Raw genomic sequence first — 20,589 nt, 5'->3', positions numbered from 1 at the left:
TGAGCCACCATGCCTGGCCAATGTTTGTATTTATTTATAAATCAAATATGTGTGCTACTGTCATTTTATAGAAAATATTAGAAAAGTTTACTTTCATTGTTAATTTTTGACAAACCATAAATAGTAGTTCTAATACTTTCTCCCTGACCGCCAGTGGATCACTGTGAATACCCTACAATGGATATCACTGAAGATAGCATTGAATCATTTTGCTGGGATATCAAAGGCTTCCAAGATCTAGTTTCAGGTCATTTCTCCATTGTCTCAACATTTCTTAGAGATGACTATGGCCAGGCACAAGGCTAGGCTCAGGAGGCAACAATGAGTAGTTACCATCCCTGCCTATCAGGAGCTCACAGACTGGTAGAGGAGATAAACTCATAAACAGGTAACTTTTGGAGAGTCCTATGTATCATCAGAAACGTTTGCACAAGGCATTAAGAAAGAACAGTGGAAAGAAATGACAGCCTATGTGAATCCAGAAAGGCTTCATGGACGACTATTTGAGCAGGGTCTTGAAGGATGAGTATTTCACCAAGTCACAAAAAGGACAAAGGGCCTTCTGGGCACAGGCAAAGGCACAAAGGTAAAAGAAGAGCTTGGTACACCGGGGAAGGGAGAAGCTGTTCACAGAAGCTGATGGGGCCTGGAGGAGAGGGATGGAAGATGAGGACTATAAAGGGAGGTTGAGAACAAATCATGGAGGACCTTATCTGGCCATACCAATAAGACTGGCTGGTATCCTGAAGTTAGTGGGATTCAAGGATGTTGTGACAAACTACATTTTCTCCTAAATCTGATTTTTCCTGACCTCTCTGCAGGAGTAACAGACTATAAAGTAGGAAGAATAAAATCAGCATTTTCCCCAGGGCTCTCATGAAGCTGATAGTCTGGGCTGCTCAGGAGGCCCCGCACCAAGGGCCACAGCCCCAAGACAGTAGGACATGCCCCTCTCCAAAGTCTAAATGCAAGGTCAAGAGCATCCAGTGTTTGAACTAAAACTAAGGAAAACTTGCACTGCATGACTGGGACTAGTGGTCATTGGAAAAGCTTTTCAGGGGTCACTAGAATTTGACTTTGTGATGAGATGAAGACGTATCTCTTGCACATTGTCAGGAATAAATCAACCCAAACTCTAGTAAAAGAACAAAGTTGTAAAATATAACACAATGACAGATGCATGTAGTTTAATGAAACCAAGATTGGACGATAAGAATTTTTCATCTCTGGCTCGCCATAGTTTCAGGGTGGGAGACACCGCTATCCATCTTCTACGTTTATCACACTTTTATTAAGAAATTGATGTTTAAACAGTGTTCCCAGAGAAGCCATTTATCTTTTAAGTTCATTAGCATGTGCAATTCCTCTTCTAAAAAGCTTCACCTCAAAAATCTTTGTAGAAGGGTTTTCGTTCATTTAGTCAACCTTTATTATGTGCCTAATGGTTGCCACGCGCTGCTCTTGGCTAAGTTTTTGCTTCTAAAGTATTTCCCTTCATCTGTGAAAAGAGTGCAGATGGCCACTGTCCTCATGATGGGGACTTTCAGTTTTGCCCAGAAGGGATGCTAGACAGACCCTGAGCTATCTGCTCTGTCCCTCCTGTGAACAGGGCCAGGCATTTGTAAGCTCCTTGGGTCACGTTTGGAGGTGTCGTCTGTGTTGGAGGACTGGCACCTTCTCTTGTGGAATAGAGTTGTCCTCTGTGCTGTGCTGAAACAGCAGCCTTGAGCTTTTAGCCTAATGTGCTAACAAAATGAAATAATCGTCCAGAGGGAAAATGTTGGACGGAATTAGAAATGATAGAGATCCTCATCTGGACAGGGACAAGACTGTTAGAGATTATAAGAATGAAACGACAGGCCTGAGGTGCAGCTGTGTAGGCATGTGACCAGCAAGGTAGTGACAACCTGGGCAAGAGCAGGGTGTCATAGAAGATGGACTGGACAGCCAGGCACGGTGGCTCATTCCTGTAGTCCCAGCACTTTGGGAGGCTGAAGCGGGCGGATCAGGAGGTCAGGAGTTCCAGACCATCCAGACCAACACGACGAAACTCCGTCTCTACTAAAAATACAAAAACTAGCCGGGCATGGTGGTGCGCACCTGTAATCCCAGCTACTCAGGAGGCTGAGGCAGGAGAATCGCTGGAACCCAGGAGGCAGAGGTTGCAGTGAGATGAGATCATGCCACTGCACTCCAGCCTGGGTAACAGAGCAAGACTCCGTTTCAAAAAATATAAATACATAAGATGGACTGGACTCAAAGTCAGAGACAGGAGCACCAGCCTCAGCTCGGAACACCAGCCATCTCCTTGAAACGCTCATACCCTTTCTGTCTCTCCATACACCCTTCTGTCAAGGGAGGATACTAGGTGTTGCTAGCTAAGACCTTGATTCTAAAGTGTTGCATTTATTTCATATTTCCACACTTGTCAACAAAAGTAAGATGGATTAGGTCGGCACTTCCTCTTGTATGCGTATATCTGAAATCTAGCTGCTTTCGTTACTGTAGATAAGTGTTACTGACATGCCATTTTTCTTTGGAAATCCTTTGGAAGGGAAGAGAAGGAAATAAAGATTCTTTGTTATCAGCTGTTCTCATTAAGGGGTTCATTCTGTGGCTCCTCTGATATCTTCTAATGAAGAGTGAGGCTGGGAAAAGGAGAAAGAGACATGCAAAGGGGAAAAGGGATCTCATGGGAGAGATGAGAAACCAGAAACATTGGTCCACCTCATCAGGAAAGTTGACTTTTGTGTCTTGAGAACGTTGTTTAAATATCTGTCATCACAATTCCCTTGTTTGCAAATGACAGTGATAATGCCAGCTTATCTCATTAGGGTGTTATGGGAGAAATAATAACAGCTTAAACACACAGTCAACAAAGTACTGTCAGAATGCTCATTGTCACCGGTAACACGAATTGGTTTTTACATGGGCAGTAGCGATCCCCAAATGAAGATCCTTGTCCCACTCTCCCTGAGAAGGAGGCCATGCAGGAGCTATGCCCAGGCAGCACTGCCCAGGTAGGCAAGATGGTCTGCCAGCGGTTTCATTTCTGTAAGGCCCCAATGAACCTCTTAGGAGTGACAACCAGCCAAGCTGAGGCTGAAGGCTGCCCTCTAGTTGTATGACTGCTAAGCAATTCAGAGTAGATGCTGTTTTGCCCAGGAGGGATGCCAGACAGACCCTGAGCCACCTCTGGATGATTGATTGTTTCATTTGGTTAGGCTAGGCAATGAAGAATTCAGTGAATGGCAAAATGGTCTAGGAGTACTCAGACAAGATGGCCTATGGGCTGGGGTTCAAATAATTACATGAGTGCGGGCCACAAGTCAGAAAAAACGTGTATATGTAAATTCCTTTCTATTTATATATGATTCATATATTACGTATTTTTAATGTTTATTTAGATTCAGACTTATCACAACTGCTGACCCTACCTCCAGTCCTCACCTCTGATTCGCTCTGAGCAGAGATTGGCAAACTACAACCTGTGTGCCAGATCCAGCCTGTGGCCTGTTTTTCTGTGACCCAGGAGCTGAGAATTAGTTTTACATTTTTCAAGGGTTGTAAAACACACACAGGAATAGGCAACAGAGGCCTGATACAGTACAAAAAGTCTAAAATATTTACTACCTGGCCCTTTGCATAAAAGTTTGCCAACATCTAGCCTTGAGGACTTACTGGCCTCTTGTGTATGACATGATTTGTGATTGCTTTCTCATTTCATCCTTACAGCCATCCCGGAAGGGAGGTAGGACAGTTGCTATTATGTCCATTTTAAAGGTGAGGAAACAGAAGGCCAAAACAGTTACCTAACTGCTGGAGGTCACATTCATAGTGGCAAGGCTGGGAATAGACCCATGGCCTTGGAATTCCCCGTCCAGGACTCTTATCAGTAGATCACAGAGAGAATGACTGACGCAGCTCTTCTGTACCAGGGGAAGGATGAACTGAGTCCAGACTGATCGGAGGACATTGGGTCTGTCTACTCTTTCTTAGCAGGCAGCCTACTGGGGGAAAAAGTCACAAAGAGGATTTGGAAATTCTAGCAATTTTTAACTAGTCTTATTACAGACTTAGGCAAGGCAGGCAACAAAAGTTCACATATTACCCTGAACTGATGTCTCAACTCTCCAAGCTGACAGTGCCCCCCGCCCCCTACCCTGCAGAGGAACCCCCGAAGACAGTGGCAATGCACTTGTGGCAAAGGGCTGCTTGCACCCCTGGGCTGTCTGTACTCCTAGTTCAGAATTCAACCCCCTCTCCTCCAGTGAGTGCTGCAGGGAGCTGCCGGAGTGAATGAATGCCCACATTATCTGACGCCCCGGCCTGTCGGCAGCTTGCCGGCCACAGACCCGGGCGGACCGCGGGCACCTGGCGTGGACTGCTATGTCCCTGACATAAACAGCCCACAGCTGAGTAGCAGCTTGTTCTTATCCCCGCCCTAAGCAAGGTCTCCCCGAACCCAGGCCTCCCTGCTGCCCTGGAGCTGAAGAGGGGCTTTGTGCCCGTAATTCAGACCAGCTTCTGCCTAACGCGCTTGACTGATACCAAGCAGAGACCTGGAATAAAGATGTGCATGGGGATGGTGCCTAAGTCTTCCCCAGGCAGGCAGGACTGGGGGCTGCCAAGACCCAGGCCTATCTGCCTGTCAGAGATGATTTAGGGAGCTTTGATAGAATAGTAGGAGGCTGGGCAGGGTGACTTTAGAGGCTCTTCTAACAACTTACAAATCCAAGTCCTCAAATACCTTCCTTTTGACTCAGTGTGGAGGGAGATTGCCATTCTTAGAGATCGACCTCTAAGAAACAAATACAGAGTCATTACTAATTTCATCCTATCAGTAAGTTAGTAATTTAGCCCTTACTAGGTAGAGACCTGGACCCTAGGGAGGAACAACAGAGAGGGGAAAAGGAGGAAGACAGGAAAGAGTGGGGCCCCTCAGAGGCAGAGCCCCTGCACACCAAGCCATAGCGCGGGAGTACTGAGAATCTGGGCAGCAGGTGTCAACAAAGGGGCTCAGTGAGGGTGAGGGCACAGCAGTATTAGGCCTTGCTGCCTTTGTAATTCTGCCTCATCTTCACTCTTCTCACAGCAGCTCAAACATAAGGAAGCCTTCTCGCTGGGTTCTCACTGCCATCTTCTCATCTCCACCCACCGTGGCTTCCCCATCCTCTGTCTTTCGCTGTCCCAGAGAACCTTTTGCACAACCCGGTTCCACACTAGCAACTCTCATCTTAAAGATCACACGGATCTGCAGCTCCTTATGCAAGTCTTGGCCCTGCCTTGTACTTTTTACGGCCCTTATTTCTTTCTACCTTGAATTCCAATTTTTGGAGACTTGTCTTACTTCCATCATGAGACTGTGGGCAACTTGAGGGAGAGGCCTGTCTGATTCAGCCAGCACCAAGCACAGTCCTTTGCCCACAGGTGAAGCTGCAATAAATATCAAGCCATTTTAGTATTTCCTCATGATTCTTCCAGCCAGATGCTTAGAAAAACTTTTAAAACCCTAGGGAAGGGCCAGCTGGGATCTTTATAGCTGCTCTAATCTAAGAGGGATTCTTTTCATGCTCAGGATTTAAAAAAATTTAATGTTATTCAGGACATCAGGTTGCATCAGACACTAATAGAGATTTCCAAACTCCTTAGCAATCACCCATTCAAAACTTCTGCCAATACAAACATGTCCAATGACGGGGGAGAAGAAAGAGACTTCATTTTCTTTCAAAGTCATTCACATGTAAAGATCAATTAGGATTTATAGAAGACAATTCTTACCAAGGGGCTCACTAGGCTTTAGTTCTGAAATCACGTTTTTCCTTCGCAATCACATTTTTTGTAGGTCTCTTATTAGACCTGCCAAAACAGGCAATCTGCTGTGTCTGCTTATTTGCTGAATTGCTGCTGACGTAAACTCAGCAAACAGCAACAAAAAACTGTTTTAATGAGACTTTAAAGTTCGGCTGTGAAAATTGAAAGTCACCCAATAGCAAACCACCCAACCACCTGAGAATATTGCACTGCAATGTTCTTGTCGCTCACAGCAATTCTATTTCTGACCAGCCAGTTTACAGTAGCAGGAGGGAGTGAGGCAGGGAGGATAAGAAGCAGTTACCCAGGGACAATTTGGGGAGAATTAAATAGAAAATGTTTGCAAAGGGCCCGGCATAGGACTTTGAGTCAAATAGATGCTCAATAAATACTGGTTGTCCATTCTGTGGGCTTCTTTTAGATCTCATATGAGTAGAGTTCACCGTGGTGCACAGTATTCTTCAGTATAAAATTTGGACTTTGAATGCATTCATCTCTTTGAATAATTAAACAAATGCAGTCACTCACACGCTCAAAGAAGGCCATGATGAGAGTGTGTTACAAATCGAGTTCTAATTAATCTAATTCTATCCACGTGAGGTCAATTAAAAACAAAAATATGAATGACTCTATCTTTTATTGTTTTAATCAATCACATAGGCCCCTACTTGTCCCAGGAAGTCAAGTATCTCCCTCTAGGGACCTCCACTTCTCATTCAAGAAAATACTCTTCCATTCCAGTCTGGCTCAGCACAAAGGGGCTGATGATCACTTCTGGTGTCAAGGCCAGGCATCTGGAAACTGAAAACTGTTAGTAGTTAACTGTATCTCTTGCATGGCTGTGCCACACAGTATTGTGGATGGAGCTTCATGTGATCAGTCCCTGGATGCTTGCCCTCTCTGTGGCAATACTCTGGGTTTCTGCCCAGGCCAAGTGGTGTTCCGCTCCTGAGCTCAGATACGCAGCCGCCAGCAGCAGCCACATGATGTGCAGAAACAAATCCTCCCTCAAGTTCAGGGACTCTCAGGCCAGGGATTGAAAGTCACATGCCTATACAGCAGGCAGGTAACAGAAATGAGTGGACAAAATTTAAGAAAAGTTGGCATATACACTTTATTCTTATTTTATTATTATTATTATTATCATTATTATTTTCAGACAGAATCTCACTCTGTCACCCAGGCTGGAATGCAGTGGCACAATCATAGCTCACTGCAGCCTCCAACTCCTAGGCTCAAGCAATCCTCCCACCTCAGCCTCCCAAGTAGCTGGGACCACAGGCATGTACCACCAGGGTCAACTCATTTTTTAAATATTTTGTAGAGATGGGGCCTTGTCATGTTGTCCAGGCTAGTCTCAAACTCTTGGGCTCAAGCAATCCTCCTGCCTTAACCGCCGAAAGTGCTGGGATTATAGTCATGGGCCACCACACCCAGCCAGATTTATTTTTTATTAAACTTGAATGTTAGCAGGTTATATGTAAATATATGTAATATTGACTAGATTTTCTATGTATATAATGCAAGTAGAGAATAAGGAATGCTTAATAAATACACTTTTTAAATAATTCATTTCTTCTTTAATATAACTCTGGAAACCAGGCACTGCTGTTTCTAGATCAAAATGTCAATGTCTCTTCTGTTTTGTTTTCTGGACATGGATTCCTAGAAAAGTTACACCTTTAGATTTCTGGGACTTCAGTATAGTTATGGTAAATTTTTAGTACTATTTTTCCCTACAGTTCAAGCATATCAATTTATAGTGCTTCCTTTATCCTATCAAGATTAATTGAGGAAAGCAAACTCAACAATGTTATTTCATTTTCATTACGTTTGAAATACAATTTTTTGGAGTCTGGTCTACAAATGGACAATTTTAAGAATATAGTTCCGTCTATCACTTTCATTTCTGGAAACTCATTCCAGTGTAGTTAAGTGGGTCAGATAATTTTCCATGAAATGAGTTTCTCAGATGTAATTTCTTTAGAAATGAGTGCATTGCATCTTATATTTCTTAACTACAGTGTCTAGGTATCTCACGCACAGACACCCTTCAAAACAAATATTCCAGATTTTGTTTCTGATGGCCTAGTCTTTGGTGAGAAGGCATGGAAATTTTTCCTTGGATCAATGAGCAAGTCAATTTATTTCAACAATTCAAAAAAACTCTTTCTGGCCAGGCGCGGTGGTTCATGTCTGTAATCCCAGCACTTTGGGAGGCCGAGGTGGGCAGATCACTTGAGGTCAGGAGTTTGAGATCAGCCTGGCCAACATGGTGAAATTTTGTCTCTACTCAGAATACAAAAATGAGCCGGGCGTGGTGGCACACACTTGTGATCCCAGCTACTTGGGAGGCTGAGGCAGGAGAATCGCTTGAACCCGGGAGGCAGAGGTTGCAGTGAGCCGAGATAGCACCACTGCACTCCAGCATAGGTGACAGAGCAAGACTCTGTCTCAACAAAACAAAACAAAACAAAATATCTTTCCAATTTTAAACCCCCTCGATGGATCTCCCCAGACTCCATGAAATACAGCTGAATATGGTGTTCTGTTTCAAGAGGGTCATGAAAATCATTGTACTTTCAGCAGTTCAAGGCACAGAATCATATTCCGTACTCAGTGCTAATTGCAATGTCCCTGACATTTTCCAATTCTAACCTTTTAGTGCTAAGCAATTGCTGGTGAATAATGTAATGAATGGGCTGAAGTTCTCTGTCCTTACAAATGTTGCCTTGCTACATTTTCTAATAAGTCTGAAATTAACACTAACAGGTCACCTGTCACAGCCTGTAACCACGCTGTCTGATATTGACTGGTCTACTGTCTGCTCAAACCATCAAGACTCTCCTGGCACCCCTAAATAGTTCATTTCCTGATATTATGTCTGTCATACTGATATATCCAAATGACCTCTTAGCCCATCAATCCTAATCAACTCCATGAACAAATATACTAACTTACCAGCTACAGCAAGAAAACACTAGTAATTATTTACCTTTCTTACGTAAGTCGTGCTATGGATTCTTAGCCATACCTTCAACACACACTGCAACAGAATTTCTGGTTGTTTCTGTTTGGGATACGTAATGTCTGTTGCATTCAATAGACACTCTTGTGTAAACTCACCATCTGTCAGTGGTATTGACGCCCACGCAGAATTTTCTCTTAAGATATAGTGGCATTTAACTACAGCATCACTTTAACAGATTCAGTTTTTTTTAAAAGCCTTTTAAAATACCTGTCCTCTTTTTGGTTTAGTGTTTTTTATCATGCATATTTTTTCATACTGGTCATAGGTATGACCATGTTTTGTTGCATCCCTTATATTCTTTTGACACAGAAACACAACAACCTTCTCGAGGTATCTTTCATTTCAGAGAAGCAGCAGGTGGGAGTTCAGTAGATCTGATCTGTGACATTAAACCAGGCAACTTAACTTCTCTAGGTGTCAAGTTCTGGGTCTCCTCTGCAAAAATGATGGCTGGCTGCTGACTAACCCTCTAACGTCCTATGCATTCTAATATGTTTAAATTTTATGGCCTGAAGTCCTAATGGATCCCAGGTTCCTCCTCTATCCCAGAGGCAAGCTGCCTGGAAGAGGGACTTTTTCCTAAGGAAAATGAGTCTGTACCCCAAGCTATAACAGACACTCACAGCAAAGCAGCAGTATTATTCATCCTAGCACTACTTAACCTTACATGTGATTATATGCAAAGCATTTCATTGCTTTTCACTTTATGCCTACATATACATAAGATAAAAGGGAGAAGAAAGGATAGATGAGGTGAGAGGGGGCCTAACATTACGTACCTACCACAAATCAGGTGTATGCAAGGACTTTTATATACAAGCTCTCATTTAATCCTCCCAATAAATCCATGTGGGAGATTATGTTGTCCTCACGTTACAGATAAGGAAAAGAAGCTCAGAGGCTTTCAATATTCTGGCCAAGATGACACAATTAGCAGCAGATCTAGGATCTGACCAATTTGGCTTGACCGCAAAGCCCATGGTGTATCCACTATACACTGTGTGATTCTTCGTTCCTGGGCAGTCTTCCTTGCCAGTGGGTTTTCTTGGGTTGCCCATCTCCCAGGCTGTCCATGCTAAACAAGAATGCTTTATTCTCTTATGCCCCTTGGGCCCAGAAGCCCTGGCTCAATCTTGGGTTGACCAGGTTGAAGGCCAAAATGAGGAGAGACAAGGCCAGGATGCAGAGCCTGGTGTGAAGATCAACAAGACCCAGGAGCTGAAGGTCCAGCCGGAGCCCTGGGTCCAAGCTGGGTGAGCCTGTAAGAGGCAGGAGCAGGTGGAAGCTGAGAGGCAATGGCCAGGAGAGGCAGGGAACAGGCCCAGGTCACACAACCTGAATGTGCTTAGGGGCTGTTGCAGGCCATAGTCCAACCCAAAAGCACTGACTGCCAGAGAGTCAAGTCTTTTTCAGAGGAGATGGAAAAACCAACCAACCAATTAGACTGATTTTATACTGTTAGATGTAACACCTTGTGCTGGCTGGTATTAACAGAACATCTGTGGCTAGAAGTACTCTCCTGATGGCATGCTCTCTCTGTCTCCTTTCTCCAGTCATTTCCCCCTAATGTTTATCATGAGCATTGTAAGAAGAAAAAAAAATAATAATGAAAAGAAAGACAAGAAAAGGGGCTGGGTGTGGTGGCTCACACCTGTAATCTCACAACTTTGGGAGGCCAAGGCAGGAGGATCCCTTCAGCTCAGGAGTTCAGGACCAGCCTGGGCAACATGGTGAGACTCCCATCTCTACAAAAAATACAAAGATTAGCTGGGTGTGGTGGTGCATGCCTGTGGTACCAGTGACTCAAGAGGTGAAGGTAGGAGGATTGCTTGTGCCCGGGAGGTTGAAGCTGCAGTAAGCTGAGATTGCACCACTGCACTCCACCCTGGGTGACAGAGCAAGACCCTGTCTAAAAAAAAAAAAAAAAAAAAAAGAAAGAAAAAGAAAAAAGAAAAAAAAAAAAAAGAAAAGAAATCAACAGAAGAAATTACAATGAAAACCTATAGTCACCACCCACCCCATTCTTCCCCATGTAGTTTCTGTTCCCCAAGGCAAATGGTTTCTGCTCTTAATTCTGGAAGTTCCCTCCTTGACGATAACTAATGTATATGCTATTTCCTGACTTATTAACTTAAGACATTATGAAGTCACTCATACCTACAGAAAGCTAACGAATTAACTCACCTTAACCTCCCTCTTTTCTTCTTCCTAATTTTTGACACTTTTGTCCTACTGTGTATTACCTCTGAATAATAATGTAAGCATATATTTTATATTACATCCATTTTAGAAAGTATGTCTTGATTTTCACCTCAATTAGATGAAGACATGAGGGCCCCTCTTCTTCCTCCCATACCTTTCTCACTTTCTGACAGCTGGAATTTGCTTTTACACTGGGAAGCTGATCATATCACATTTTCTTCTATAACCGTATTTAATCTTCTGTGTCCTACGAGACTGATTCTCAAGGTTAAAAACCAATAGACACTATTTCTGTTATTATAAATCTGAAGTCATTGATATATGAGTCCTTTTCATAGATATTGAGGCAGGTGCTGAGCTTGGATTACCAGACAGGGGTCATGAGGCAGGAGTCATGTGCCCTAGGTGCAGCGGCTTCTCTTCATCACATTCCGGCAGTGTCCCGGCAGCATGTCACCATCTGGCAGCGCTTCACTTTGGCTTAAGCAGACAGAGGAATCTGGCCAGGACACCACTTACACAGGGATCTAGAAGCCCCAATTCTCAGAAAGAATGTTTGTCTCTACGGAAGGGAGCTCCGTTTTTGCCTGGAGATGGCTGCCACACCTCCAAACTCAGGGATGTGTGAGAAGATGCCTCCCCACCAAGTGGCCAGTTCTTCCCCAGATAATGAATTATCTTTTCTGCAACCCCACCGCTCCGCCTCCTCCACCATGCTGGAATATGGCTTCCATGTTCTGATTCTCCAACTTGTCAGCTGGTTTCTATTCTCTTTACCTCTCTTGAAATTGTACGGGGATCTCTCCTCCACTGTTTCCTCCCATTACCTCGACTGTTATGAGTTTATTCCCATGTTTTTATCTTATGTCTCTGGAAGGAGGAGTAAACCATGGTCATATGTGTATTTTATTTCTTTCTTGATTATAACATAGTTTAGGTTTATTATAAACAAAAAATACAAGCAATCAAGAAAAATATAAAAAGGAAAGGAAAACTTCATAAAATCTTGTGTCTCAGAGGTACTCACTGTTAACATGCTGATGGAAATTCTTCCCAAGTCAACCAACTCTTCCTGCTCCGTGTGGAATTCCCAGAGGGGGTTCGCCTGTGCTTTTATCTTGGAGTCTTCACTCCTCTGGGAGCCATTATGCCAAAGGTAGGCAATCAAGTTAAAGGGCAATATTCATCCCTTTCTGTTGCAGCCCCAACCAGGGCTTTAGTGAAAGAGAAATTAGTCTGGGTAAATAGTTTTACTCAGCATTGCCCCTTGCTGCTCTACTTTTCCTGCTCCTGGCTTCTAGAGCATCTTATGGTGGAGGTACATCCCTAAGGCTTCATCCATAAGGCAGCATCCTGAGTCCCTTTGCAGAGAAGGGCCCTCTACTGCAGATTCTTCTGGAATCTTTTCTCTCTCTGGATTAGAGTGTGGGAATATGGAAAGTCAGATTTACTAGTTTATGAAATGGACATTTCACAGTCGGGACAGCCTCCCAAGTAAGACACTACCCATCTAGTCTCCTTTTATGGGAGAAGGGCTCTTCATGGAATATACAGCTCCTGGGTTGGAAAGAGAGGGCAGAGGACAGATATGCAAAGCTGAGAGACGGCACTCATGGAATTTCTGTCCTCCCACCCTTCTTCCCTTTAGGAACAAGCACTTTTTCATTTTTCCATTTTGCAACAGTTGCATTCGTTGGCTTGTTTGGACGTGAATTAGAAAAGAGACGAGTTTATCTCTTTTTCAGTTGACTGCTGAGCCAGGGAGAGTTAGCAGGAGCTAACTTTGCCTTCTACTGTGTGGGGTGACCCACAGGGTCAGAGACAAGAGAACTCTCCGAAGGCGTGCACCTGGCAGACCCAGTTTCTCCGTCCATGTGAGGGGCCTGTGTGAAGGCATCAGATGACCCCGTGCTTTTCTGGGCCATCAGTCAACTCTCCAAGTGTGTGCTTTGCTTTTGACTTGGCCCAAGCTCCTGGCAGCAAAGAGGCTGAAGAGAGGGGAAGGCCTCAATCTCCCAGCCATGCACAGGTTGAAAGAAAGAAAACCATCACACTGCTTTCCTGAGGAAGACTTTGGACTTTTTCTTAAATGTTTATGCTTCTCTCCTTCATCCCCACGTAAGACATTTTAGACAAACTCTGCCACCAAGATACTGAGTTTGTGGGTCCCAGGTAGGGAGGGTGCAGAGAGGGGGCAGAAGGATTCTGCCTGTGAGTGACAGCTTGAAAAATGGAACTTTGCAGGGCCAGGCCCCCTACTCTTACCATCATTTGCTGACTATCCGAGGGACGAGGAGACAAAATCTCTCACTTTCTCGGACACACAGATAATCAGAGCACTCTCTGAGACTTTGATCAAACCACACATTTTTTTCCAGTAGTGGTTCTGGTGGAGATAGGCCATTTTATGGATATTTTGGAAGTGATTTCCTCTATATAAAAAGCACATGTTCTGAGTTTGTTCTCCTGGCCAAAAATGTCGCTATAGCATGGCAATGAACCCCTCCCAGCACCTTTTTGTTGTGTTTTTTGTTTCGCAATGCATCAGGAGACTGAACTGAGAGATAAAACATGGAGATAGGAACAGGAAAATATAAAAGTCACACCTTGCCAAGCTCACCACACCCAGAAAAAAACAAAAAAACAAAAAAACTGTCAATAAAACAAGGGCCCTATACAACTACATCTCCTTCTAGACTGAACTCACCTTCCCTGTTCAGCATAGGCTTCTTGGACCCTGTAAGGCAGGATTGAGACTGCTGGCCTCTGTGTGACATAATATATTTCTTATTGCACCATTTTGCAGTGATTTGTTTGTGTCTTTTTTCTTTTCTGGTTGTTGTTGTTGTTGTTTTGAGATGGAGTCTCACTTTGTCACCCAGGCTGGAGTGCAGTGGGGCGATCTCGGCTCACTGCAACCTCCACCTCCAGGGTTCAAGCAATTCTCCTGCCTCTCAACTTCCTGAGTAGCTGGGATTACAGGTGCGTGTCACCACGCCCAGCAAATTTTTTGTGTATTTTTAGTAGAGACCGGGTTTCACCATTTTGGCCAGGCTGGTCTCAAACTCCTGACTTCGTGATCCGCCCGCCTTGGCCTCCCAAAGTGCTGGGATTACAGGCGTGAGCCACCACGCCTGGCCTATGTCTTTCTTGCCTATTATAATTTGAACCCCATTGAGAGTAGAGACCTTTACCTGTTTTTGTGCTCTATCATTGAGTACAGCACCTTACACCTATAAGGTAAAAAATGGTCTATGAAGTGAGAAAATGAATGATTAAATGACGTACGGATCATAGGCTTTTCTTCCCAATACATATGTCCACAAAAAAAATTTTGCCTCACATTATTCTAGGTGAAGTAAGTCAGGAATAGAAAACTAAATACTGTATGTTCTCAATTATAAGTGGGAGCTAAGCTATGAAGATGCAAAACCATACAGAGAGATTTAGTGGACTGTGGGGACTCTGCTAGGGGAGAGGTTGGGAGGGGAGTGAGGGATAAAAAACAATATATTGGGGGCCAGGCGCAGTGGCTCACACCTGTAATCCCAGCACTTTGGGAGGCCAAGGTGGGCGGATCACAAGGTCAGGAGATCGAGACCATCTTGGCTAACACGGTGAAACCCAGTCTCTACTAAAAAAAAATACAAAAAATTTAGCCAGGCGTGGTGGCGGGCGCCTGTAGTCCCAGCTACTCGGGAGGCTGAGGCAAGAGAATGGAGTGAGCCGAGATCGTGCCACTGCCCTCCAGCCTGGGCGACAAAGCGAGACTCCGTCTCAAAAACAAAAAAAACAAAACCCCCCCCAAAAAACCATATTGGGTACAGCGTACACTGCTTGGTAATGGGTGCACTAAAATCTCAGAATTCACTACTAAGGAATTAACCATGTAACCAAAAACCAATTGTACCCCCAAAACTATTGAAATAAAAAAAAAGATTTGCCTCCTTGAAGCATGTTCTTTAGACCTTTAGTAATAGCAGCTACCGTTTACTGGGCACTCATGTGCTAGGTACCATGCTGCACACTTCATGCATAGTATCTCATTTAATCTGGATTCCTCCCATAAGTTCACATAGATGTGAAATAATCTTCACTTGATCTTAGCCAAAAGGCCGAGAAGTGATAGGTGTGATATGATATTAAAGTGTCCTTTACTTCTTCACTGTGATACCTGTCACACTTATAAATAATTGTTCCCTCTCTGTCTTCTCTTGGATTTTTAAGTCCCATGAGAATACAAATGTCTTTTCTTGCATGATGCTGAATCCTTCAGCATGCAGCCCATATCACACGTGCCATGGAACACATGCTGAATTCATCTTCATGACTTTCATGAGTCCCAGCAGATTGCTGGTAGGTGCTGTTCCAAGTATTCTCCAGTATAATTATTATTGCAATCCTGGCTGTCTCTCTTCCTTTTTGATGCTCAGGTAGAACGTAAAGGAAACTCGCAAATTCTCCCTGTGGTAGCTGAAAACATTGGTAACCCCTAACATCACCATTTGTCACCTCTAATGTCACCATTAGATTACTCCATACCTCGATCCGTGGAAGAAACTCCTTCCCTGCTCTCTGATCATCTGTTCTTTCGGTCTCCATTTCCATCTCAGTGTTGCTGTCTCCACCAACATGGCATCTCTTCTAGGCATTGCTACTGCTGCTTTGGGATTCCAGGAATCAACAGAACTGTAATGAAGTAGGCACATCCAGGGGCAAGACAGGGCAGGGCAGGGTACAGGGCAAAAAGCGTCTGATGTGGAGACTGTGCTCAGCTGAGAAAGCTTCAGGCACTTTTTCCCACTTTCCTGGAGGAGTAAGGTGGGTCCCCATCTCTGCCAATCTGAGGGAGTTCCCGTCTGCCTTCAACCCCCCACCCATCTCCCCACTGCATACTACATTTAACGTTTCCACCCTAATAGGATTTCCTGCATGGTTTCCATAGATCTGTTTTTCTGTTTATTTGCGCTCCTTGTTAGCACCCTCACTCCCAACTCTTCACTGTTGCATTTCCAAGTGCAATCATCTCATCGATCTCATCCCAAGGCCAGAAAGGAGTTGAGCAATTTACACAAAGTAGGCTAAGAACATTCTCACTATCCCAGGGCACTGAACCAAGTTTCTGAAAGTGGCACAAGTCGGATGTTATTAATATTCTCTCTTTAATGTTCATCAATTCCAGAAATGGATATTTCCTCCAAAGACCCTGGACAACCTCTGGAGTCATTGCCATTCTGGTCCGGGGCCATCGGGGATCTAACCATTTCCGAGAAAATTAGCAGAGAGTGGGAGGGGTATTATTTCAAACTGGCGCTGATTGCATTTGGTATCCTAGGCTTGTTGCTGGGATCACGCACGAAATCCCTGGTAGAAGAACAGAGGCGACTCACAGTTTCCGTGATAATGATAAGCTGCAGACGACTATTTAGAGCATCCCAACATTTATTTCAAAGTAAAGACAGTAGAAAACAACTGGACTGCAAGATGGGAGTCTTGGTCACTCACTGTGTGATATTAACAGAGTCACTCGACCTCCTTGGACTCAGTTTCTTCTTGTCTAAAATGGGGCTGTTGTCCTCACTCAGCTCTAAAGGCTCCTCTTAAAGCAAAAGTGATGGTTCTTGGAATTTCTTTTATTTCTCCAGTGAGAATCACTTCAATCTTCAGGCAAGATACCTGCCTGTCTCCTGCCCCTCTCTCCCATTCTGTCCCGGATATTGTGAAGCTACTTCTTCAGTTTCATGAACCTGGATTTTGGCCAAACCCTTGATCATTCATCTTAGAAGCTAGATTTCCTTTTCGAAGCCACAACTCTGGGAAAGGTCTTCACAGCCAGTTCCTGATGTTGCTGAGCTGATCTTGTCCATTCTCAGTCAAGGTAGGATGACAGCTCCCCGTGAGAAAAAAAAATAGGTGTTGCATAAGAGAACATCTTGGCTATTTATGAAAGATTTTCTATGCTTCTGTTTTAAGTTTGTTTTTCAATTACAAAAGGGACTCATTCTTTTGTATAAAATTTGGAAAGCTAAGTTAAGTTTAGAGAAGAGGGTAAAATCATTCTTAATCCCATAATTCTACCATGGAGAAATTTTGTTAGTATTTTGGTGTATTCTCAATTTCCTCTGCAGTTTTTTACATTGTTGAAATCATGCTATTTATACTATTTCATCCTTTCTTCCCACTGAAAATTGTATGATAAGCATTTCCTCATGTCACTGAAGTCACTGATAAGTAATATTTTAATAGCACCATAATATTTTATTTTGTGGGTTTTGTCCTAAGGTTGAACAGATAGGTTGTTTCTAGTTTTATTTTTTTAAAAATATTATTAGCAATGCTGAGATGAACATTTGTGTGTATATATCTCTGGAAATTTCAGATTATTTCCTTAAAGTACATTCCTAGAAGTGAATTACTAAATTTAAGAGCCTGAATAATTTTAAGATTCTTGATACCATTTAATTTTTGATACCATCTTGGTCTTAATTTTTCAACCACATTTTGTGACTTAAAATCACCACCTTTTCCCTTAAAGAATATCATATTCATTTTAATCATGAGAAAACTTCAAGTTTTCTAACACTTTTCCTGAAACAACTTATTCCAAAACCTCCACCCAAGAAACATTAGAATCCACATGTTTGTCCTGAGCTATCAATCAATTTAGTGAACACCTGCCTGACCCTAGGCCTCTGCCAGGCCCCTATGATACTTATTTTCAACATCACTGGGAAACGTGGAATTATAAAGGAAGCAGAGAGAATGGCTCTTTAGTATAAGGAAGAGAAAATCGGTGAGTGCAGAAAAAATCCGAAACTGTATTTGTCAGAGCCCCCACCGTACTTTAAACACACTAAAATATAAAAGAAACAGCTATTACTAGAATGTTCTATGTGACTTTGAGTCATTCCACAGCTTTGCTGCACACCAATCTCCTCTTCTGCAAAAACAGAAGCAAAAGCTAGAGTGGTTTTTCAGGTCTTTTCAGTCCAGTATTGGATGATTCTATATTTCTTCCCAGCAGTGTGAGGATAATGAAGTCACATGCTACAGGTACTTTGAAACAATTTTTGAGTTTGAGGTATTCTTCAAAATGGTGATAGTTAAAATAACCATCTTTGGGGTAAGGAGTGCTGCATAAATGAGATTAGGCTGAGTTTGGGATCAGATCAAATCCAGCTTTGCTAATTGTTAGCCATATGTGTCCTTGGGCCAATTATTCAAATTCCTTGAGCCTTAGTTTCTTCATCTGTAAAAAGGCTGACAGAAGAGCCTATCCTATGCTGTAGTTGGAGGATTAAAAAGATAATGTATATAACAGGCACACAGGAAGTCCCCAGGAACTAGCATTGTGAGAACTGCTAAGTTTGGTGTGCCAAAATGTTCATTATTCATAGTCCAGAAAGGGAAACTGAGGCTCAAGGAATTTGCCCCTTGACAAAAATTACACAGTAGATTAGTAATGAAACAAATCCCCTCTGCCTTACTTGTCTGGTTCACCCCTCCATTGTATATCATTGAAGAACTAGCTGAATGAAGCTAGTTCCCAGTGCTTTGGGAGGCCAAGGCAGCCAGATCACTTGAGTTCAAGGCCAGCCTAGCCAACATGGTGAAACCCTGTCTCTACTAAAAATACAAAAATTAGCCCAGTGTGGTGGTGCACACCTATAATCCCGGCTACTCAGGAGGCTGAGGCATGAGAATTGCTTGAAACCAAGAGGTGGAGATTGCAGTGAGCCGAGATCCGTTACTGCACTCCATCCTGGTCGACAGAATGAGACTCCATCTCAAAAAAATAAAAAAGTAAAAAATAAAGAACTAGCTGAGTGAAGACAAATATTTCAAATGGAAGCTTAGGCAAAGATGTAATTGTTTTCCTAACTGTGGTCCAAAGTCAACTGCCAGTATTATGTATGTATAAGCTTATTTTATCCAAGTAAGGTGAGAAAGTCATAAATAGGCAGCACCGTGTGTAGGACAAAGTCTAAACCCCCTACCTGGTATTCAAGAGGTCTCTGAGCTCAGCCTCAGCCTCCCTGCCTGTGCTTACCTGCTGTCATAGCCCCTCATGGACTCCAGGCTTCCACTCAATCCACAGTGCATTGTTCTCCTCCTGCAGGGACTTCACCATGGCCCTGCCAGAGCTGCAGCCTCCTTCTAGAAGACCTTCCCCCATGTCACTGGCAGCTTCCTCCTCATCCTTCAACGCACAGCCCACATGTTAGCTTTGGTGCAGTCTCCTCCTTCCAGACATACTCATTGCTCTGGGTTCTGGCTGACTTACTATGGCGCCCATGTTTTTCATCACATGTCACAGTGTGACTGATGTGATTTAGCTCCATAACAGACGGGTACAGGAAGTCTTCCTCCTCTGGCACTTCTAACATAATCTGTAGTGGGTCAGATCTTCCCAAAGCTAGGCAAAGATTACTTCTGCAAGGCTTCAGAAACTCAGAGAGTCTTAACCTTAACGTAAAAGTGTGGTCGTTCTTCTAAGTAGAAAGTGAGAAGGAAAATGTTATCTTTATTTTTTTGCGTTCCATTTAGCAGCAAAAGCAAATAAGAAATGAATATCTTAAATAGACTGTCATGCAACAATCATTATTTATGTTTTTCTTCCGCTATTATAATGAGAATCCATTTTTGTTTTTCACCTTTGAACCTCGATGTTAAGGTGTATTAGTTACTATGCATGCTGGCTGCTCCGTGATTCATTGAATGGCCCTGGCATGAGTCAGCCACTTCCTCAGTGGCCATTAATGTGTCCAGCAATGTGCCAGGTGCTCTGGAGACTGAATGAGGCTGAGTGTGATAGCTAATGCCTCTAATCCCAGCATTTCAGGAGGCTGAGGCAGGAGGATTACTTGAGGCCAGGAGTTCGAGACCAGCCTGGGCAACATAATGAGACCCCCCCCATGGCTACAAAAAATAAAAAACTTAGCTGGGCATGGTGGAAGTGTGCCTGTGGTCCCAGCTACTCGGGAGGCTGGGGTGAGAGGATTGCTTGAGTCCAGGAGTTCAAAGCTGCAGTGAGCTATGACTGCACCACTGTACTCCAGCCTGGGTGACAGAACAAGACCCTGTCTCTAAAAAAAGAAAAGAAAGAAAAGACTAAAGGAGACACACCTGCCTTTTCAGCTAAACTCAGCCAGCCACCACAACACTTAGCCTTTCAACTCTAGAGATGGTCACTTTCTGGGGTTGCAGTGGAGCTTTAAGACCCCACAGAGGTCTCCGCAGTTCTTCGGCACTGGCATTCCATACTCTACCCCTCTATGTTCATTTCAGCTTGACGCCACTCCCCCTCCTTTCTGCCTGTGTAAGCTCCAACATGCTTAGACAGATCCTCTCTGTTCCCGAAGACTTCCAGCCCCACGTAGGCTCCGTAACGCACACACTCTTCTGTTTTACTCTAGTGGTTTCATGTTTGCATGTCTTATCTCCTCTTTTTAAAAACTCTTCAGGGTACTTAGCAGAGTGCAAAGTACACAACTGACAATAAGGAATTCACTCATTGGTACTGACATTCTTCACATTCCATC

The 20,589-nt window shown here is 43.6% G+C and overlaps 1 long non-coding RNA gene across 1 annotated transcript, besides 2 other annotated features; it reads right to left on the bottom strand.

The window, feature by feature from the left end:
• Nucleotides 3,908-4,407: an enhancer, noted in NCBI's record as "H3K4me1 hESC enhancer chr8:9176987-9177486 (GRCh37/hg19 assembly coordinates)". NCBI's record gives its function as "activates a minimal SCP1, AML or CMV promoter by ChIP-STARR-seq in naive H9 embryonic stem cells {active_cell/tissue: H9 hESC(naive)}" and the evidence as "EXISTENCE:reporter gene assay evidence [ECO:0000049][PMID:30033119]".
• Nucleotides 4,408-4,909: an enhancer, noted in NCBI's record as "H3K4me1 hESC enhancer chr8:9176485-9176986 (GRCh37/hg19 assembly coordinates)". NCBI's record gives its function as "activates a minimal SCP1, AML or CMV promoter by ChIP-STARR-seq in naive H9 embryonic stem cells {active_cell/tissue: H9 hESC(naive)}" and the evidence as "EXISTENCE:reporter gene assay evidence [ECO:0000049][PMID:30033119]".
• On the bottom strand, nucleotides 16,472-19,887 carry LOC124901883 (uncharacterized). Its single transcript, XR_007060811.1, has 2 exons — nucleotides 19,098-19,887; nucleotides 16,472-16,937 (listed from the first exon to the last, which is right to left on the bottom strand). It is a non-coding gene; the product is annotated as an uncharacterized LOC124901883 (long non-coding RNA).
• Nucleotides 19,888-20,589: the final 702 nt, after the last annotated feature.

The sequence above is a fragment of the Homo sapiens genome, chromosome 8, assembly GCF_000001405.40.
Source record: "Homo sapiens chromosome 8, GRCh38.p14 Primary Assembly".
Taxonomy (NCBI): domain Eukaryota; kingdom Metazoa; phylum Chordata; class Mammalia; order Primates; family Hominidae; genus Homo; species Homo sapiens.
This window is presented reverse-complemented; position numbering and strand designations above follow the sequence as displayed.